At 47.5% G+C, this 19,981-nt stretch overlaps 1 protein-coding gene and 1 long non-coding RNA gene across 17 annotated transcripts in view, besides 2 other annotated features; one reads left to right on the top strand and one right to left on the bottom strand.

The window, feature by feature from the left end:
• Nucleotides 1–19,981, top strand: part of CARS1 (cysteinyl-tRNA synthetase 1) — a 56,495-nt gene that overhangs the window by 15,994 nt on the left and 20,520 nt on the right. For 9 of the 16 annotated variants that reach the window (NR_165430.1, NR_165429.1, NM_001751.6 and 6 more), the window contains 7 exons: nt 446–534; nt 1,499–1,595; nt 2,138–2,236; nt 3,231–3,380; nt 11,987–12,127; nt 12,346–12,434; nt 14,633–14,754. Coding sequence is in view for 12 of the 16 variants with exons in the window: in NM_001751.6 (NP_001742.1) it covers nt 446–534; nt 1,499–1,595; nt 2,138–2,236; nt 3,231–3,380; nt 11,987–12,127; nt 12,346–12,434; nt 14,633–14,754 (787 nt within the window). In the remaining 4 variants the exon portion in view is untranslated. Of the gene's footprint in view, nt 1–398; nt 983–1,498; nt 1,596–2,137; nt 2,237–3,230; nt 3,381–11,986; nt 12,128–12,345; nt 12,435–14,632; nt 14,755–19,981 lie in introns of those variants that run through there. The other 7 variants (NR_036542.2, NR_165428.1, NM_001378137.1 and 4 more) reach the window with 2 other exon arrangements.
• CARS1-AS1 (CARS1 antisense RNA 1) lies at nt 170–12,036 on the bottom strand. The gene is made up of 2 exons (NR_046580.1): nt 9,854–12,036; nt 170–650 (listed from the first exon to the last, which is right to left on the bottom strand). It is a non-coding gene; the product is annotated as a CARS1 antisense RNA 1 (long non-coding RNA).
• Nucleotides 180–1,379: an enhancer, noted in NCBI's record as "BRD4-independent group 4 enhancer chr11:3061281-3062480 (GRCh37/hg19 assembly coordinates)". NCBI's record gives its function as "activates an origin of replication core promoter dependent on BRD2, P300/CBP, MED14 and CDK7 cofactors, and independent of BRD4, by STARR-seq in HCT116 cells {active_cell/tissue: HCT116}" and the evidence as "EXISTENCE:reporter gene assay evidence [ECO:0000049][PMID:35650434]".
• Nucleotides 10,475–10,975: an enhancer, noted in NCBI's record as "H3K4me1 hESC enhancer chr11:3051685-3052185 (GRCh37/hg19 assembly coordinates)". NCBI's record gives its function as "activates a minimal SCP1, AML or CMV promoter by ChIP-STARR-seq in naive H9 embryonic stem cells {active_cell/tissue: H9 hESC(naive)}" and the evidence as "EXISTENCE:reporter gene assay evidence [ECO:0000049][PMID:30033119]".

Genomic DNA, 19,981 nt, shown 5'->3' with positions numbered 1-19,981 from the left:
GGCCAAGTGTTGTCTGCCTCAGTTTCTTCATCCGTAAAAAGAAAATGACATAACCTACGTCCTAGAGTGTACTGCATATTGAATATTTAGCTCAGGGCCTGGCACATGGTAGGTACTCAGTAAATATTAGCTGTGTTATTGTTAAATAAGCAGCATTTCAACAATCAATAAAATCATTGATTCCCTTTATCGCCTCCCTCCATAGATGAGTAGAACCCCAGGGAGGAAGAGGCCCCACCCACCCAGGGCTCAGTTGGTGGGAGGTGCCGTACATCTCACTGGGCTCCCACTGAGACTGTGACTTTTCACAGTAAAACAAAATGGTCTCTGTTGAATTGTTTACACTAAACACAAACCACACTGTGATGTTTGTTGCTGTTTTTGGTAATCCTGTGCAGTGTTTCTTGCATTTCTTGTGATCGTCATTCCTTCATTCCTAACAAAGGAAGTGTTCATACCTCAAGATGGGAAAAAGGTGACGTGGTATTGCTGTGGGCCAACCGTCTATGACGCATCTCACATGGGGCACGCCAGGTAGGTCCACCGCGGGGTGTCCCTGCAGCTTCTGCAGTTGCACGCAGAAGTCAGAGCCATTGGGATCCACAGCAGCGATCTTAGGTCCACAAAGATCTTAGATCTGCTACAGAGACCTGAGATTTGAGGAATCAAGACTGAATTTCTTCTCTTATTTTTAAGATGAAAATTTTAATGCCATAAGTAATCTATATTCACTGCAGAAAGACTACAGATCACCAAAAAGAAAATGTCCATAGCCCCACTGCTAACATGCTGGACTCGACCTGGGCACTTTTTCTCACATACCTTAAAGTTTTCTCTCATCCCTCAAGCTCTCGTGGGGTCCCCAGATGCTGAGTTCCCGTGACACTCAGACCTGACAGGCCTGACGCTGGGTTGGCTGTGACCGCCCCCCGACCACTGGATGGTCATGGCTGTAGCTCCTGACGAGTAGCTGGCTGTTGGGGTAAATGCCACAGAGTCCTTTTATGTGTTCATGTTTTAGTTGCAGTGCCAAGGTCATGTATAGTCAACCCTTGAACAACCTGGAGGGTAGAGGGTGTGACCCTCTGCACAGTTGAAAATCCACACATAACTTTTGATTCCCCAAAAACTTCACCACTAAAATAGCCTCCTGTTGACCAATAGCATGCCAGTCAATGAACACATATTTTGTATATACATTACATACTGTATTCCTAATGATAAAGGAAGCCAGAGAAAAGAAAATATTATGAAGAAAATCATAAGGGAGAGGCAATATATTTACTATTCATTAGGTGGAAGTGGATCATTATAAAGGTCATCATCCTTGCCATCTTCACGTTGAGTAGACTGAGGAGGAGAAGGGGGGGTCTTGCTGTTTCAGGGATGGCAGAGAAAATCATATATAAATGCACTCATGCAGTTCAAACACGTGTTGTTGGAGGTTAAGCTATACATATCGTCTGGTGTGGAAATGTTTGTTTTTTCATTGCTTTAGGTCCTACATCTCTTTTGATATCTTGAGAAGAGTGTTGAAGGATTACTTCAAATTTGATGTCTTTTATTGCATGAACATTACGGATATTGATGACAAGGTAAAGGGAATTTGTAAGATTAAATTTTAAATGCAATTGGATGGTGTAAAAGAAGATAGAACTTTCGCATAAGTAAATAATGTAGGCTTGAGCTAGCTTGTGTTTTCACCTGATAAACATCATTTTAATCCCCTCAGTGAGTTAATATTACCACTTCTGCTACTGATATGATCATTTCTATGATGTTCAGACACGGTTAGAAACCTGCATGTTGCTCAGGGGTCGGTAGCCCTGGGTGTTTTGCAGAAGGAAGGCCTCCCACAGCACGCACTTCGACATGTGGCTTGCAGGGGAAGCTGGGGCCCCCAGGGCTCATTTCATTAAGCGTCAGAAAGATCATGTTAGGCCTTGGGCACTACTTGGCAGGTGGGAGATGGAGGGTGGTGTTTCTATTTGATGATGGTGTGCACGTCCGGGGCCCACAGTTGTCTCCCACCACCCTCACCCTCACTTAGAGTTGGCCAAGGGAGAGAGTGGCCTGCTGCAGAGGGATGCATGTGGGATCCAAGCATCACTCCCCAATGTCTGCCTTCCCTCCCCAGATCATCAAGAGGGCCCGGCAGAACCACCTGTTCGAGCAGTATCGGGAGAAGAGGCCTGAAGCGGCACAGCTCTTGGAGGATGTTCAGGCCGCCCTGAAGGTGGGCCTCTTGCTGTCTGCTCTAGAAACCGAGCCCTTTGCTTTCTGTTCTCGGTCCTTTGTAGGCTACTGTCCCTAGGGTAGTGTCAGTCTCACAGGCTTTCACAAAGTGTATGTTACTCAAGCCAGTTCCGTCAGGGGCGCTGAAGTCTCCATAGGTAAGGTCCCCTGGCCTGTGACAAAGTCACCAGCAAAGATGTACTGGAGTGGAGTGGAGAGTAGGTGACATTCCTGCCACTTACAGGAAAACAACTGAATTCATCACAGTGCCACTAATTACACTTATAAAAATGCTTACCAATATTGCTGTCTAATTTTCAATGCCAAGGTTACAACTAAATCAGAAACTTCTGCCCAAGATACAAAAGCTATACTAAGCTTTTTAATTTGGTAATACTGTAAATTTTCAGAATCTTTTGAAGAAATTAGTTCTCTCTAGTATTTTCATTCTGAATAACCATCGTTATATACTTATTTTTATTACAATAGTAAGAATAGGTCATTTTACTCTCTACTAATTATCCTTAGTAATTACAGTAATCATTATGGATATGCTTATGGCATTTTATCTCTGGAATTAAAAACAGGAATAAAATTAGAGCTGAGCAATCTTTTAGGTCAGTGAGGCCTGAGTACCTTCCTGATGGATGTGTCTGCAGCACACCTCAGAACACACTGGGTGGCCTACTTTTCCTCATCCCCAGAACAGCCCTAGAAATACTGCTCTCACACCCAATTTGCATTGGAGAAACTGAGGCACAGAGAGGTTAGGTGCCCTGTCCAGGGTCACACGTGAGAGGGCAGAACCAGGAGCTCCTGAGCCGGGAGCTTCAGTCTCTCTTAGTTCCTTACTGCCTGGCCACTTGGGTTGCACACTTCTCTATCTCTATGGGGCCATGGGAAAAACCGTTCTGTTTTCTACCTGGAATCACCTTTATGAATTTAGGTTTTGCTGAGCAGTATCTAATAGATTTGACGTCTCTTTATGGTTGCAGCCATTTTCAGTAAAATTAAATGAGACCACGGATCCCGATAAAAAGCAGATGCTCGAACGGATTCAGCACGCAGTGCAGCTTGCCACAGAGCCACTTGAGAAAGCTGTGCAGTCCAGACTCACGGGAGAGGAAGTCAACAGCTGTGTGGAGGTGAGGCTTCACACATCTCCCAGACAGCCCGTTCGGGTCAAATGTCGGGCCGTGCATAGACTGATCTGTGTGCACGGATTGATTCCACAGATTGTCTTAGTGGAAGACACTCTGTGTCTCCAGTAGCTCCACTGTGGCAGGCGGCCCTGTTCTGCGGTGGCTGAGTCAGTGCCCCTCCCCTCCCACACCCCTTTGCCCCATTTCCTGGGTGCAGAGCCTGTGCCACTGGAAGGAGACTCGGGATCCACACCCTCCCACCACTTCCATCAGATAGGCAGGAGGTGCACTTGGAACGTGGGGAGGCAGCCTTCTGTCGAAGTGTTCCAAGATTCTCCAGCGGACTCTCCCCACACCAGCTGGAGAAGGAGGAGCAGGGATTAACATTGAATTGAGCATTGAGGCCTGTGGGTACCTACTGAGCTTGGGGCCTTCACGTTGACCAGCTCTCCTGCCCCTGCCAATATCTCCTTCAGACACAGGGCAGAGACCTGGGTGCAGAGGGGACCCTGCCCTCTTCCTCAGGCCTTTCCCTGTGGCTGGCGCCCTGGACACAGTCAGGAAGGCCTTCTCCTTTGTGCCAGCGCCGCCTGCTGGTCACCCTTTAAGAACTCGATGGAAAAGAGAAGAGACGGCTGCAGCTGTGTGTAGAAAAAGAGGCCCCACTGAGGCCGCAGCCCTGCCTTCCCTCACCACTGCCCTGGCCCCACCTCAGTGATGGGGCAGGGAGTCTGTGTCTGCCCTTCGCCAGCATGTTTCTTTCTAGTTTGGTCTCTTCTGTGTCCTGACTCAGCAGATCGCTTCGTTGCGCCTGTTTCCAAACTTCACGGAAACACGCCACGTGTATGTAGTCGTCAGTGTGCTTTCACCCAAGCTGTGCTTCTGGGACGACCCACATGTGGTCACTGTCACTGCCTCAGTGCCTGCCTGGGAGCCGAGCTGTTTGTCTGTTCTCCTGGGACGGGCAGTTAGGTTTCCTTCTTACCAACAATGCTGCTGTAATTTTTTTCCCAGTTGTTCCACTAATATTCTTTTTTTTTTTTTAATTGTGGTAAAACACACATCATAAGAAATTTACCATCTTAGCCATTTTTAAAAACTTTTTTTTTGTAGAGACAGGGTCTTTTTGTGTCTGGTTTATTTTGCCCAGCATAGTGTGCCCATGGTTGACCCATGCTGTAGTGCATGTCAGACTCTGCTTCCTTCCTATGGCTGAATGATACTCTGTTGTGTATAGATGGGCCACATTTTGCTCATCCTTTCACCTGCCCGTGGACACGTGGGTTGTTTCCACCTTTTGGAGATGCAAGTAATGCTGCTATAAACCTGGGTGTACAAATATCTGTTTGGGTTCCTGCTTTCACTTCTTTTGGGGATATACACGGAAGTGGAATTGCTGGGTCATGTGATGATTCTATTTTTGATATTCTGCGTAACCACCGTATTGTTTCTGCAGTGGCTGCACTATTACACATTCCCACCCATAGTGCATGGGGTTCTGTTTTCTCCACATCCTTGCCAAAGCTTGTTATTCTTCATTTTTTTCATCCCAGTAGGTGTGAGGTGGTATACTGTGGTTTTGGTTTGCATTTCCTTAATGGCTAGTGATGTGGAGTGTCTTTTGCTGAACTGTGAGTTGTTTTGTGTTGTCTCTAGGTGGACATTTGCAAGTTTCTTTAGGCCATATACCTGCAAGTGGAATCGCTGGGTTGTGTAGGATATATGTGAGTGACTGTCGGGGGTTCCCAACACTGCCCACACATTCTGGGGCCCTAGAAGGACTCATGAGACTCGGCATCGAGTTATCATCTTGTCTAAGGTTTGTAGCAGTGACACAGCGAGGAGCAGAAGCTCAGGCGGAGTCTTCAATCATCCATGGGCAGGCTGCTGAAGCTTCCTCCCTGCCTCCCATGAGGGGACACAGCACACTCTCCCCCACCAGGAAAAAAATGCAGCCACATGTGTGAAATGTCCCTCCCTAGGGAAGCCCATCACATAGGCACCCTCTGCCTGGCACGTGCCGCAATTCCTGACTCCCCAGGAGGAAAGCTGGTGTTCCACCTGCATAAGCCACAGTGTTTGTTCAACAGCCCACTGGGGGCTGCTGCCACAGAGCTGGGTTTCCCGGCCTCTTAGCACAGGGGACATTTCAGCTCCTGGATGCCAGCTAATGGCCAGCTCTGTAGGCAGGCCTTTCTCAGGTGGCAGACACAGACCTTCTAGGCTCACTTTTATCTTCATAGTAGCCATATCAGAAATGTCTATATGGCCAGGCACAGTGGCTCACACTTGTAATCCCAGCACTTTGGGAAGCCAGGGCAAGAGGATCACTTGAGCCCAGGAGCTCCAGACCAGCCTAGGCAAAATAGTGAGACTCTATTTCTACAAAACTTTTAAAAATTAGCCAAGCATGGTGATGCAAGCCTGTGGTTCCAGCTACTGGGGAGGCTGAGGTGAGACAATCACCTGAGCCCAGGAGTTTGAGGCTGCAGTGAGCCATGAACACACCACTGCACTCCAGCCTGGGCAGCAGAGTGAGACCCAGACTCTTAAAAAAAAAGAAAGAAATGTCTATGCAAATTTCTTCTTCTTCTACCACATTTTGGGTGTGCTGTGTATTTGCACATACACCTGCATTTGTATTGTTGGATTCTTCCCTTTCATCAGTCAATGAATGTGAAGTGCTGATTGCTGTGGTTTGAATGTCCCTTTTTCCAACCTCTCCTGAGACTGAGCATCTTGTCAAGTGCTTGCTTCCAGCTGTGATTCTGTGCCCCCATCTCTCCCCCTTTCCCATGAGGTTATTGGTCCTTTTCTTACTGTTTTGTATCATTCTTATGTCTTCTGATACTAATTACTATGATTTGAATGTTTGTCCCCTCCAAAACTCATGCTGAAACTTAATCCCTAGTGTAACAGTATTAAGAGGTAAGGCCTTTTAGAGGTGATCGAGTCATGAGAGCTCTGCCCTCATGAATGGGTTAATGGATTAATGGGTTATCACAGAAGTGGGGTAGTTATCATGAGAGTGGGGCTGTTACAGAAGCCAGTTTGGCCCTCATGAGCCCCCTGGCCATGTGATGCTCTGCGCCACCTTGGGACTCTGGGAAAAGTCCCCACCAGCAAGAAGGCCCAGAACAGATGTGGCCCCTTGACCTTGAACTTTCCAGCCTACAGAATTGTAAGAAATAAATTTTATTTAAAAATTACCCATTCCCAGGCAGGGCATCGTGGCTCATGCCTGTAATCCCAGCACTTTGGGAGGCTGAGGTGGGCAGATCACGAGGTCAGGAGATCGAGACCATCCTGGCCAACATGGTGAAACCCCGTCTCTACTAAAAATAAAAAAAAAAAAATTAGCTGGGTGTTGTGGCGTGTGCCTGTAATCCCAGCTACTTGGGAGGCTGAGGTGGGAGAATCCCTTGAACCAGGGAGTCAGAGGTTGCAGTGAGCCGAGATCGTGCTGTTGCACTGCAGCCTGGCGACGAAGCAAGACTCCGTCTCAAAAAGAAAAAAAATTTTACCCATTCCCGGCCAGGCGCAGTGGGTCACGCCTGTAATCCTAGCACTTTGGGAGGCTGAGGCGGGCGGATCACCTGAGGTCAGGGGTTTGAGACCAGCCTGGCCAACATGGCAAAACCCCGTTGCTACTAAAAATACAAAAATTAGCCAAATGTGGTGGCGCGCGTCTGTAATCCCAGCTACTCTGGAGGCTGAGGCAGGAGAATAGCTTGAAACCAGGAGGCGGAGGTTGCAGTGAGCCGAGATCACGCCACTGCATTCCAGCCTGGGAAACAGAGTGAGACTGTCTCAAAAAAACAAAACAAAACAAAACAAAAAACAGAAAACAAAAAAAAGAACAAACAAACAAAAAAACAGAAAACAGACTAAGACACGAATTCATCTCTGTTACATGTTGGCATGTGTTTGTGTCTCTTAATTCTGTTCTGTTGGTCAAATTGTCCAGCCCAGACCAGGTGCAGTGGCTCGTTCCTGTAATCATAGCACCTTGGGAGGCCAAGGCAAGAGGATCCCTTGAGCCCAGGAGTTTGAGATCAGCCGGGACAACATAGTGAGACTCTATCTCTACAAAAAGTTTAAGAATTTAAAATTTAAAAAATTTATAAAAATTGCCCAGTCCTGCAGGAGTATCATGCTGTCTCTCACAGGTATCTGATGGGTAAGAGGCCCCATCTTGGTTTTGTCGTTAGGTGTGTTTTGAAGCCTCAGCTTGTCAAGTTCCATGTAAGACACTGTTGGGATTTTACATGTTGTATCTAAGAACCATCTCAGATCCAGTTTGGCTGTGTTGATCCTCTGTAGTCTTTTTGTTTTATCAGTTTTTGTCCATTCTTTATTCCTTCTTTTCTTCTTTTTCCTTTGGATTTATTCTGTTTTTCTTTGTCTCATTTAGCAGTTTAGCTTATTTTCTGATTTAAGAATTTAAGGCTATACATTTTCCTCTGACTGTTTTTGCTGCAAAATTTGACATCATTTACTTGTAAACAATTTCTAATTTCCATTTTGGATTTTTTAGCCCAGGAATTATCTAGAAGTAATTACCTAAAAGTTAATTATCTAGAATTACTTAGAAGTTTTAAATTTCCAAATTTAAATTGGATGGTACTTTTTCATATTAACTTATTGTTATTCGCTTATAACTTAATTACCCAGTGGTTGGAGAGTATGGTCTGTCCCAATCTGGATCTGTGAACAGAGACTTGTGTTGTGGCCCCTGTGTGTGCTGGTTTCTGAATGTTCTCTTGTGCTTGAGAAGATTCCGTCTAATCCCCTAGTGCACAGTTCCACATGCCATCCACTTAGCTATACCTGTTGGCCGTGTGGTTAATATTTTGTGTGTCTTTGCTAATTCTTCCTGTTGGCTTAGCCTATTCATACAGTTTCTTAAAAAAACAAAAACAAGAACCAAAACAAAACTCCCCCTCTGATGATGAATTTGTCTGTTTCTCCTTATTTTTTCACTTTTTAGAAAAAAAAAAAGTTTTTTTTTAGAGGAGATTCTGGTTCACATCAGAATTGAGAGGCTATATATATCCCCTACCCACCTCACCGTCACCTCCCCCAGCATCCGCACCCACCAGGGGGTACGTTTCTTACAGTCAGCGAACCTGCTCTGAGCGTCATTACCCTGAGTCCGTGGTTTACTTTAGGGTTCACTCTCAGGATTGTTACATCCTATGGGTTTGGACAAATACTATCTCGTATCCACCATTACGGTATCACACAGAATAGTTTCACTGCCCTGAACATCCTCTGTGCTCCAGCTATTATCCCTTCCTCCCCACCCCAACTCCTGACAGCAGCTAGTCTTTCTACTGTCTCCGTAGTTTTGCCTTTCCCAGAATGTCACATACTTGGAATCCTACAGTGTTGCAGCCATTTCAGATCGGAAAAAATTTTTAAACAGAATACTTCACCTCTGATCACCAAAATGCATAGGGATTTCTTCCTCACCCAGCCCACCTCTGCCCCGACAACCAGTCAGTTCTCTAGCAGGCATCAGCTGGGAGTCCTAAAATTTAATTCATTTCCAACACAGTTTGCCAGGAGGAAGCGTCAGATCTGACAGGTTGAAGGGCTCAGTCCCATAAGACTGTCCCCAATTCAGATGCCAGTTGAAAGTAGTAGTTTGTTACCTATACTTCTGACCTACCAGTTATTGGCCGGGCGCGGTGGCTCACGCCTGAACTCCCAGCACTTTGGGAGGCCGAGATGGGCAGATCATGAGGTCAAGAGATTGAGACCATCCCGGCCAACATGGTGAAACCCCGTCTCTACTGACAATGCAAACATTAGCTGGGCGTGGCGTCACGTGACTGTAATCCCTTCTACTCGGGAGGCTGAGGCAGGAGAATTGCTTGAACCCGGGAGGCGGAGGTTGCAGTGAGCTGAGATTGCACTACTGCACTCCAGCCTGGTGACAGAGCTAGACTCCATCAAGGAAGGAAGGAAGGAAGGAAGGAAGGAAGGAGGGAGGGAGGGAGGGAGGGAGGGAGGGAGGGAGGGAGGGAGGGAGGGAGGGAGGGAGGGAGGGAAGGAAGGAAGGAGAAAGAAAAGAACAGAGTGCACTGGTATATTTTGGAATGCTTCCTTTCCCTTCTTGCTATTGGAAACACAAGGGGATTTTTCTCCAATATTCACTGTGAGGCCTGGTCAGGTTCCTAGAGGTAAAACTCACAAAAGTATGGGGTCCCCTATGACTGGGTCCCTGGGGTTTTCAACTGTCTGACTTGCCTACACCAAGCCTGCAGCAATCTCTGTTACAGTCCTGGTTTTCCTCCCCCAACACTGGTTCCCACAGAATTTTCAGCTTATGAGTCTCTGCTCTGGTAAGTTGTGATTGTCTGTCTTCTCCTGTTGGTCTCTCCAGTTTAGGGGGCAGTGGTTTGCCCTATGACCTAACTTCTCTTATGGATCTAAGAAGAGTTGGTTTTTCAGTTTATTCAGCTTTTTACCTGTTGTTAGGTAGAGTGGCAACTTCCAAGCTCCTGACTTATGTGAAACTGGAAAGCAGAAGTCTCTTATCATTTTGTATTTATGCATTTTGATTGTTGATCTGTATGCTTGACCAGCAACATTGAGTATTCCAGCCCTATCATCAGGCAAGTTTTAGAAACATTATCTTAGAAGTATTGGTGGGAAGCAGCTTTTGTCTATCTTGAAGTGTGTATATTTCCCTGTTTGTTCAAGGTGGTTGCCGTCTTCTGGCTTCCATTGTTGGCTGTTGTTGAAAACATCGGCTGCCCTTCAAATTACTTTTCTTTGATTGGTAAATATGTCTTTTCTATCAGGCGCATTATAAAAGTATTCTCTCTTTTCAGTTTTCTGCTATTTCACAAAGACATTGTAAGAGATTTGTTTTTACTTATCCTATTGGATATTTTGTGTGCTTCCCGGGGCTGGATTGTTGCATGGGTTTTGAGAAATTCTCAGATGTGTCTTCAAGTATCACCTTTACTCGATTCCCTCTCTCCTCTCCTCTGGGTTGCCAATTAGATGTGAGTCTCATCATTTCATCTCATCCTTCTCCGTGTCTCCTAACCTGTCTTTCATAAAATTTTCCTTCTTGTCTCTGTTTCATTTTGGATGACTTCTTCAGTTCTGTCTTCCTGTTCACAAATTCTCCTTCAGACAGGAAGTGAAACAGTCACTCAGTAGGATGGATAAGACTGTTTCGCCTGTTAATAGATTTCATCTCTGCAGGTTCCGTTTGCTTCTATTTTCAGATCCAGCTGGGCCGCTTTGCTGGCCTGTCCCTGCTTGCTATTGCCTGTCATCTGGGAGTCCGTCCTTATGTCTTTAAGCCTGTAATATTTACTGGATTTTATTATGTATCTGATAACTCCTCCATCTGAAGCGTCCATCTGTTTGTCGTTTCTGCTGACTCCCATTCACAGTTGCTCATGTTCTTGGGTGTTTGGTGACCTCGATTAGGATGTCGGTTCTTGCTGGGTCGTGACCTTGGTGATCCTGAGGGCCAGGATGCGCGTTTCCCTGTACTTGGGGCAGGCCCAGTGTTTGCTTTTCGGGCAGCAGACTTGGCAGCCTTTGCTCCCCAGAGCGCACACCCTGCTTTTGGTGCTTGTCTGCCCACTGGATGCCCTGCCGCGGTGGGGAGGGTGTGCTCATTCCTGCAGACGTGCCTTGCCACTTGCAGGCCTGCAATACATTTAACACATCTGTTTGATTCAGGAGCTGTAGGCAGGGATTGCATCAGGAACCTGGCCCACGTGGGCCCTGTGCCCCTTCTCTGTCTGTGTTGTGGCTTTGTCCACCCTGTGTCCTTGCTGTCTGCCAGGCCATTTTCCTACACTTTTTCTCTCCAGCCTTGGTTCTTTGCCTCCCCTTCCCATAGTAGGCCACAGACCATCTGCTTGGTGTCACGCCCTGTCCTGGGTCCACGTCAGTGCATTGAGACTCTAGGTCCCTCCAAGATGGCGGAGGGTAGACATTTCTCTTTTCTGACATGAGTGCAGTTGGGGCGTGTCTCATGCCTAGAGTGTGTGTGGTCAGGACCTGGTTCACATAGGTGCCATGTTTTGCTGGGATTGGTGGTTTTTACTCCCATTCCATGGTGTGTCAAGTGGGGATGGCATCTTCAGTCAATGGCGTCAGGGAGATGGGGCTTTTGAGACCTCTGGGACCAGTGCCCTGCCTATCTCTCCTAACCTCTGGCTGTGTCCGTCATGAATCTTTTCCTGAATGCACCAAGGGGTTGTGCTGTAGGTGACACACTGTGTGCTCCTGCCCAGCCTCTGCCCATAACCCTGCCCTGCACGGCCCAGGTAGGCTGCACATGCTCACCAGGCCCACCTCGGCCCTCCCACCTCTTTTTGCCTCTGCACCCACAGTCCCCTTGGCTTTGCTCCTCTGAGTTCATGTGAGACCTGCCCATTTGTAGAGTCTTGTATTTGTCCCTGCCGAGCCAGTTGTGTAAGCATCACAGTCTCCCTAGGAGACGGTGGCTCTTCACAGGTCAAGGTCAGCACCTTTGAATTCAGGGCACTGATGGGCTCACACCAGCTGCACGAGATGTTCTCATGTGAAGTGTGTGGCCCGCTGCTGGATTTTTGTTTCTTTCTCTTCAGGTGTTGCTGGAAGAAGCCAAGGATTTGCTCTCTGACTGGCTGGATTCTACACTTGGCTGTGATGTCACTGACAATTCCATCTTCTCCAAGCTGCCCAAGTTCTGGGAGGGGGACTTCCACAGAGACATGGAAGCTCTGAATGTAAGTGTCACGATTGTCTTGTGCTGGCTCTCTTGCGCTAAGGGCCCTGATTTCTAAATTCCTGTTTTGGCAAGGCCAGCTCAATTAAGCGGCCAAGTCAACATTGAACTTGAGTTGAGGGGCATAATGGGCTTTTCGTTTTATGAATTGGGAACGTTTTTATGGAGCGCGTGGTTTTCAGAAGGGAAAATCCCAGGACATTCTCATGTCTTGCACAGGTTCTCCCTCCAGATGTCTTAACCCGGGTTAGTGAGTATGTGCCAGAAATTGTGAACTTTGTCCAGAAGATTGTGGACAACGGTTACGGGTAAGCACAAGGGCCTTCCCTAGGGAGGGAAGGGCTGCAGAACATCGCACAGGGAGGAGCTCCCCAGCTCTGAGCCTGAGTTTGGGAAGCAGAGGAGCAGGTGTTCTGGGGCTGCGTAGCTAGAAGTCCCAGCAGACTTCCTCCTACAACTCTGGGCCCACCCAGGGGCTGAGGAGCATGGGTCTGCACTGTCCTGGGGGCCATGGTGAGAACCTAACCCAGAATCTGCTGGGAAGCTCGGCAGCCAAGACCATCAGTCATGGGGCCCCAGAGCTGCATAATGGTGAGTGCGAATACTGCTGGGCCTTCACAGACATCAGTGCCATTGCGTAGACATTTTGAGAGTGCTAGTCCTGGTGTCATATCCCGAAGGAGGATGCATTTCATCAGCATCTATCGCTTGGCTATGATTTTAGTGACTTTTTGTTGGCAAATCCATCATACACTTCCCTGGCCCGTATTGTCTCAATCTCCAAAGTAAGCATTTTCAGAAATGGCCAACAAATGGAAATGCAGACAGGAACCCGGTTATCTGTCTGTAGTGTGTAGGGACCAGCCCCACAGGGTCGGTGGGTTTTTCTCCCCATGTGTGGAGATGAGAGATTGTAGAAATAAAGACACAAGACAAAGAGATAAAAGAGAAGACAGCTGGGCCCGGGGGACCACTACCACCAAGACGCGGAGACCGGTAGTGGCCCCGAATGCCAGGCTGCACTGATATTTATTGGATACAAGACAAAGGGGTAGGTTAAGGAGAGTGAGCCATCTTCAATGATAGGTAAGGCCACGTGGGTCACGTGTCCACTGGACAGGGGGCCCTTCCCTGCCTGGCAGCCAAGGCAGAGAGAGAGAGGAGACAGAGAGAGGCAGCTTACGCCATTATTTCTGCATATCAGAGACTTTTAGTACTTTCACTAATTTGCTACTGCTATCTAGAAGGTAGAGCCAGGTGTACAGGATGGAACATGAAGGAGGACTAGGAGCGTGACCGCTGAAGCACAGCATCACAGGGAGACGGTTAGGCCTCCGGATAACTGCGGGCGAGCCTGACTCATGTCAGGCCCTCCACAAGAGGTGGAGGAGCAGAGTCTTCTCCAGACTCCCGCGGGGCAAGGGAGACTCCCTTTCCCGGTCTGCTAAGTAGCGGGTGTTTTTCCTTGACACTTACGCTACCGCTAGACCACAGTCCGCTTGGCAACGGGCATCCTCCCAGACGCTGGCGTTACCACTAGACCAAGGAACCCTTCTGGTGGCCGTGTCCGGGCATAACAGGAGGTTCACACTCTTGTCTTCTGGTCACTCCTCACTATGTCCCCTCAGCTGCTATCTCTGTATGGCCTGGTTTTTCCTAGATTATGATTATAGAGCGAGGATTATTATAATATTGGAATAAAGAGTAATTGCTACAAACTAATGATTAATGATATTCATATATAATCATATCTAAGATCTATATCTGGTATAACTATTCTTATTTTATATTTTATTATACTGGAACAGCTCGTGCCCTCGGTCTCTTGCCTCGGCACCTGGGTGGCTTGCCGCCCACAGTAGTGCTCAGCACTGTACCGTGCGCCTGCTCCCAGAGACCCACTGTGTCCAGCCTCAGATTGCTTCCCTCCCACAGGAACCACACAGGCTGGATGAAAGAGAAACAAGAGGTTGTGACAGTGCCAGGAACGGGGCAGACTCTTAAGCAGTAGCGCTGCTTCTCTCCCCACTTCACACAAACTACTGTGGGGCAGCATAAGAGCCTGTGCCAAGCCGAGAGGCATGGGCAAGCCGAAGCTCAGAGAGGACAGGTCATTCCAGACTGGAGTAATCTAGAGTGCTTCTTGGAGGCCAAGAGCCTCAGCTAAGCTAATGGGTAGAGTGTGGACATTCAGGGAAAGGTGAGGCCACACAAGAATGAGGACGGCAGCAGCCCTGAGCAAGGCAGGGTGGGAGCTGCATGGGTCACAGGACGCCAGGCAGAGGGACGAGCTGCCCAGGGCAGGCAGGCTGCCTCCGCAGCGGGATGGGCCCTGGTGTCCCACTCAGTCCAAACAGCTGATACGGTTTTCAGTGGCCACCACAGAGAGTAGATAGGCCACAGATTTCGCACTTTTATAGCCCTGCTTTATTTTGTTACTGTCATCCTGCTGACACACTTTCGGGTCTGTTAGATGCACCCACCCAATTCCTTTTCTGTTTTCCAGCTATGTCTCCAATGGGTCTGTCTACTTTGATACAGCGAAGTTTGCTTCTAGCGAGAAGCACTCCTATGGGAAGCTGGTGCCTGAGGCCGTTGGAGATCAGAAAGCCCTTCAAGAAGGGGAAGGTGAGGAGGGCATGCCTGAGAGCATGTGGGCTCTCCCTCCTGGCCCAGCCTGGGTTGTGTTGACTTTGCAGGCCACGGGGGCTGCGCTGAGCCCACCCCTCAGACTCTTGGGAACAGTGCTTTTTCACCTGAAGGAATTTTAGGAGTTTTCTGCACTCAACATTGTGCAGCTCTAAGACCATGACATGTGTTTTTTTAATGGATATATAATAATTATGCAATTTATGGGGAACATGTGATGTCTTAATACATGCACACCGTGTGTGATGATCGGGGTAGTTAGGATGCTCGTCACCTTAGACGTTTACCTTTTCTTTGCATTGGGAATGTTCCAGATCTTCTGGCTATGTTGAAATATACAACAAATGTTTTGGTAACTATAGTCACCCTACTGTGCTAGTGACCACAAGAACCTATTCTTTCTGTCTGTGTGTTTGTGCCTAGAAACCAACCTCTCTCCACTCACTGCCCCTGACCTGACTCTTCTCAGCTTCTGGTGACCACTGTTCTATGCTGCACCTCCTTGAGGTCCACCGTTTTTTAGCTCCCACATAAGAGAGAGGACATGTGATATTTGTCTTTCTCTGCCTGGTTTATTTCACTTAACAGAATGTCTTCCAGTTCCATCCATGTTGCTGTAAAAGACAAGATGTCATTTTTTTATGGTGTGTTATTTTTTAAGAAACAAAAGACAGTAAACGCAGTGCTGTCTTGAGAAACATAGTGGCCCCTGGGGCCTGGATTCACAGGGCTGGTGTTTGCTGGCTGAGCATGTGAGGTTTAGGGGGATTGTGGGGTGCTGGGATGTGTGCCGAGTGATGCATATTTGACAACAGCCTGTGCGCCCATCTGGATCCAAATGCTTCAAACACAGATATCAGACTTTTTCTAGACCAGGCAGAATTATATTGGGAACCCTTTCGTTGGTGTTTTCTTCATGTTTATCCCTTAAGTGAATCTGGGGACACATCCACAAGAGGCAAGGTTGGAAGCCTCCCTGCAGAGTGGGGATTCCCGCAATGTGCCAGGGCACGTTCTGCACCCCCACCCCGCCTGTCCTAGTGTTTCTGGAAGACAATTTGGCCATAAAAATGTTCATACTTTTATCTAATTTTAGGCTCTATTCTAAAGAAATATCAGAACCTAAAATAAAGGTGCGGTGGCTCACGCCTATAATCCCAGCACTTTTGGAGGCCGAGGTGGGTGGATCACCTGAGGTTGGGAGTTCGAGACCAGCCTGGCCAACATGGCGAAACCCCATCTCTACTAAAAATACACAAATTAGCCAGGTGTGGTGGTGCTTGCCTGTAATCCCAGCTACTCAGGAGGCTGAGGCATGAGAATCACTTGAACCCAGGAGGCAGAGGTTATAGTGAGCCAAGATTGTGCCACTGCACTCCAGCCTGGGTGACAGAATGAGACTCTGTCTCAAAAAAATATATAATAAAATAAAACCAGACAACACAGACTGAAGAAAGATAGAGATAGCCAGGTTGACACATAAATATCAGACCCATGGCATTTCAGGCTCCGGGTTTGTGGGAGTAGAGGGGCGGGTTTGTGATGATGAAGCGCCTCAGCTCTGAGAGGATGCAGCCTGGGCCTCTGGACCAGAAGGCTTCACTACCCTAGAACCAGAGTGGACATGCCCACGTTTCATGCACTTCCCAGGAGTTGACAGATCAAGTAGGCCAAGAATTAATACGGATATGAAAGGTTTGAAATACAGTTAACAGGCTTGGTTTGAGAGCTGGGAACTTTGCACTCAGGAATTAAAGAACATCCTTTCCTTCCAAGAACACAGAAACATATGCCAGGCCACAGAAAGATTTCCACAAATCTCAAAGAACCGTTTTCAAGGAACCCTCATTCTGTCAAGGAGCCCTCATTCTGTCACCATGGAGCGATTGTATTAGATAACAACACTTGGCCAGACATGGCGACCCACACCTGTAATCCCAGCACTTTGGGAGGCCGAGGCAGGAGGATCGCTTGAGCCCAGGAGTTCCAGACCAACCTGGGCAACATAGGGAGACCCCCTTTCTACAAAAAATTTAAAAATGAGCTGGGTGTGGTGGCACGTGCCTATAGTCCCAGCTACTTAAGAGGCTGATGCAGGAGGATCACTTCAGCCCAAGAAGTCAAGGCTGCAGTGAGCCCTGATTGTGCCATTGCACTCCAGCCTGGGCAACAGAGCAAGACTCTGTCTCAAAGACATTAAAAAAATTTTTTTTTTAAAATAAAAAAGATACCAACACTGACAGGACGGACGTCTAAAATGTACAAACTTGTCTGGGGGGTTGAAATCATGCTCCTGGATAACTCCTAGGAAAGAAAACCACAGTGGGAAATCAGGGGTGTTTAAGCAGAACAGCAGCAAAGGTGCCACACACCAAATCTGGAGAATGCCCCTAAAGCACCAATTAGAGGAAACTGATGTTTTTAAATGTAGTTATTAAAAAACAAAGATGGAAAATAAGTGAGGTGCCGGGTGCAGTGGCTCACGCCTGTAATCCCAGCACTTTGGGAGGCCAAGGCAGGCGGATCACGAGGTCAGGAGTTCGAGACCAGCCTGGCCAATGTGGTGAAACCCCATCTCTACTAAAAATACAAAAATTAGCCGGGTGTGGTGGCGCATGCCTGTAGTCCCAGCTACTCGGGAGGCTGAGGCAGAAGAATCGCTTGAACCCTGGAGGCGGAGGTTGCAGTGAGCTGAGAGCGTGCCACTGCACTCCAACCTGGGTGACAGAGCAAGAGTCCATCTCAAACAAAAAAAAAGGAAATAAGTGAGCTAAGCAGTCAGTCAAAAAGCTGGGAAAGGAACAAGAAGAAGTAGAAAGAAATAGGAGGAAATAAAGTAAAATCAGAGATTAAAGAAACAGAAACAATTGTAAAAGCCAAAAGCTGATTCTTCTCAAAAAATAATATAGAAGAACCCTTAGCAAGTTTGATTAATAAAAGTAGAAGATTGAAAAACATATTAGGGCTGAATTATAGCTCATGCCTATAATTCAGCACTTTGGGAGGCCGAGGCAGGAGGATCGCTTGAGGCCAGGAATTCAAGACCATCGTGGGCAATGTAGTGAGACCGCATCTCTACAAAAATTTTAAAAATTAGCTGAGTGTGGTAGCATGCACCTGTAGTCCCAGTTACTCAGAAGGCTGAGGTAAGAGGGTTGCTTGAGCCAGGGAGGTCGAGGCTGTAGTGAGCTGTGATTACACCGTTGCACTCCAGCCTGGCTGACAGCAAGATCCTGTGTGTGTGTTTGAATGTATGTATGTATGTATGTATGTTTGAATAACAAGACAAAAATGGAATGTAACTATGGATATAGTAGAGCATTTCTTAAAGTCCTTAGAGGAAGCCGTGAACAACTCGCACTGCATTTGACACTTAGATGCCGGGAGGGAACTGGCAGCACATGGGAAAGGTGGGAGTGGTAAGTGGAGCAGTGCCCTCAGGTCACGTGGTGAAGGAATGTTCTGGAGGCAGCTAGAGCACACTGACTCACCACTTTATGATGAATTTTGCTATCTGGCCCCATCTAGGGTCTTTTTCTTAAATACCATTTATTCTTGGGCCCATTTTCTTCCAGAATGACTTCAGCATTGGTTTAAGTTCCAGGAAACAGGAGTAGAATCTAACAGCCAATATGCAGGACCAAAGAGGGACATGGATTTCCACCCCTCCACAGTCAGTGATCAGACGTGGGCACATGACCACCCCCGCAACCTCCCCCCACCATGGGGAGTCATAAGGAGTGTAGCCTTAGCTCTGTGCAGTCATGTGCTCCTCGCCATGGGGACTCTAATGGTAGAGGAAAAGGGGAGGGGTGATGCTGGGGCCCAAGTGGTCCTAGATGATGACAGCTCCTCACTCCGCCAAGTAAGATGACCCACCAGAGGCAGATGGGCCATGCAGACCACTCGGGAAGGCACGTGGCAGGAAGGCCTAGTGCAGGGAGGAAGCTCCCCCAGTGGGAGAGAACAGGACCCTGTTGTGCTGGTATGAACATGCTTGTAGGGTCAAAGCTAGAAACACTCACTCTGCCTCTGGGGAGAGAGACAGGAAATGAAACCAAGAAGGAAAACTTGAAAGACATTGTGTTGTAACCATAATAGGTCTGTTGCCCAATGCACAGCGAGTCAGTATACCGGGATACCAGGGGTTGCCGTAGAAGAAGCGTAGTAATTGTATGGTGGACAAATGGAGATGGGAGGAAACCTCAGATCCGCCTCCCTGAGATTTGGGGAGGGGTTTTTAATTGCTCTGGACAGGTGATGGGGATTGCCGGTTGCTGGGGAAGTGAGGGGCGAAGTCATGGGACAGGGAGGTAAACCACATTTCTGCGACGAGTCAGTTCCTTGGTGCAGGTCTTCAGACCAGTTGGCAACAGCTGTCCTGCTGGAATTCAGGATCCAAAAAATACCTTAAGCAGTTCTTGGTAAAAAGGTCCAGGGTTAGAGATTCTATCGCTAGGAACAGTGGTGGAGCAGGTGGTCAGCGTGCTATGTGACTCTCAGTTAGAGCTGCAGGGAAGCGGATGGACGTGCACTGCACCTGGCCAGTGACCGGCCTCATCATTCTGCCTATAGCCTGCCTTGGAATTCTCATTAACCCTATGAGGGCAGTTGCAGTGTGATGTTTGCTGAAGGATAGGGTGTTTGTGGGGAGGGTCCTGTGTTCTCTGTTATCAATTTTTTCAAAGCGTATTTTTAAAAAATCAGATATAAACTTTCATGAGTAAGTTCATAATAATGAAAAGTTGAAAACGTGAATGTATATTTTCTATCAAAGAGCATCTAAAAGCGAATGTCATGGGCCATATCACATTGTGCTTTTGCGGAATTGTCAGTGGCAGAACAGTGCGGAGGTAGAAGGAAGCCAGGACAGCGGCCTTCCGTGTTGGTGGATAGATCTGGATTTTGCTTGCAGAGGTTTTTTGTGTTTTTGTGTGTTTGTTTTTTAATCTGGGAATCAGTATACCAAAATGGTAACAGTAGTAATTCCTAGGTTAAAAGATAATGGCAATTTTTTTCCTAGTTTTCTTTTTTTATCTTTCAAATATTCTACATTTAGTACATATTTTATAATCATGAACTTGGTGTTTAGAAAAATATATTTAGCGGTGCTTTTCCTCTGGACTCTGTTTCTCAGGGCAGCTTAGGTCTGTTGCCTGATTAGGCTCCTGAAAAGTGGATTTGTCACCTGGAAAGATCTCACTGC

The sequence above is a fragment of the Homo sapiens genome, chromosome 11 (assembly GCF_000001405.40).
Source record: "Homo sapiens chromosome 11, GRCh38.p14 Primary Assembly".
Classification (NCBI taxonomy): Eukaryota; Metazoa; Chordata; class Mammalia; order Primates; family Hominidae; genus Homo; species Homo sapiens.
The sequence above is the reverse complement of the archived record's forward strand: the minus strand, read 5'-3'. Positions and strand labels throughout refer to the sequence as shown.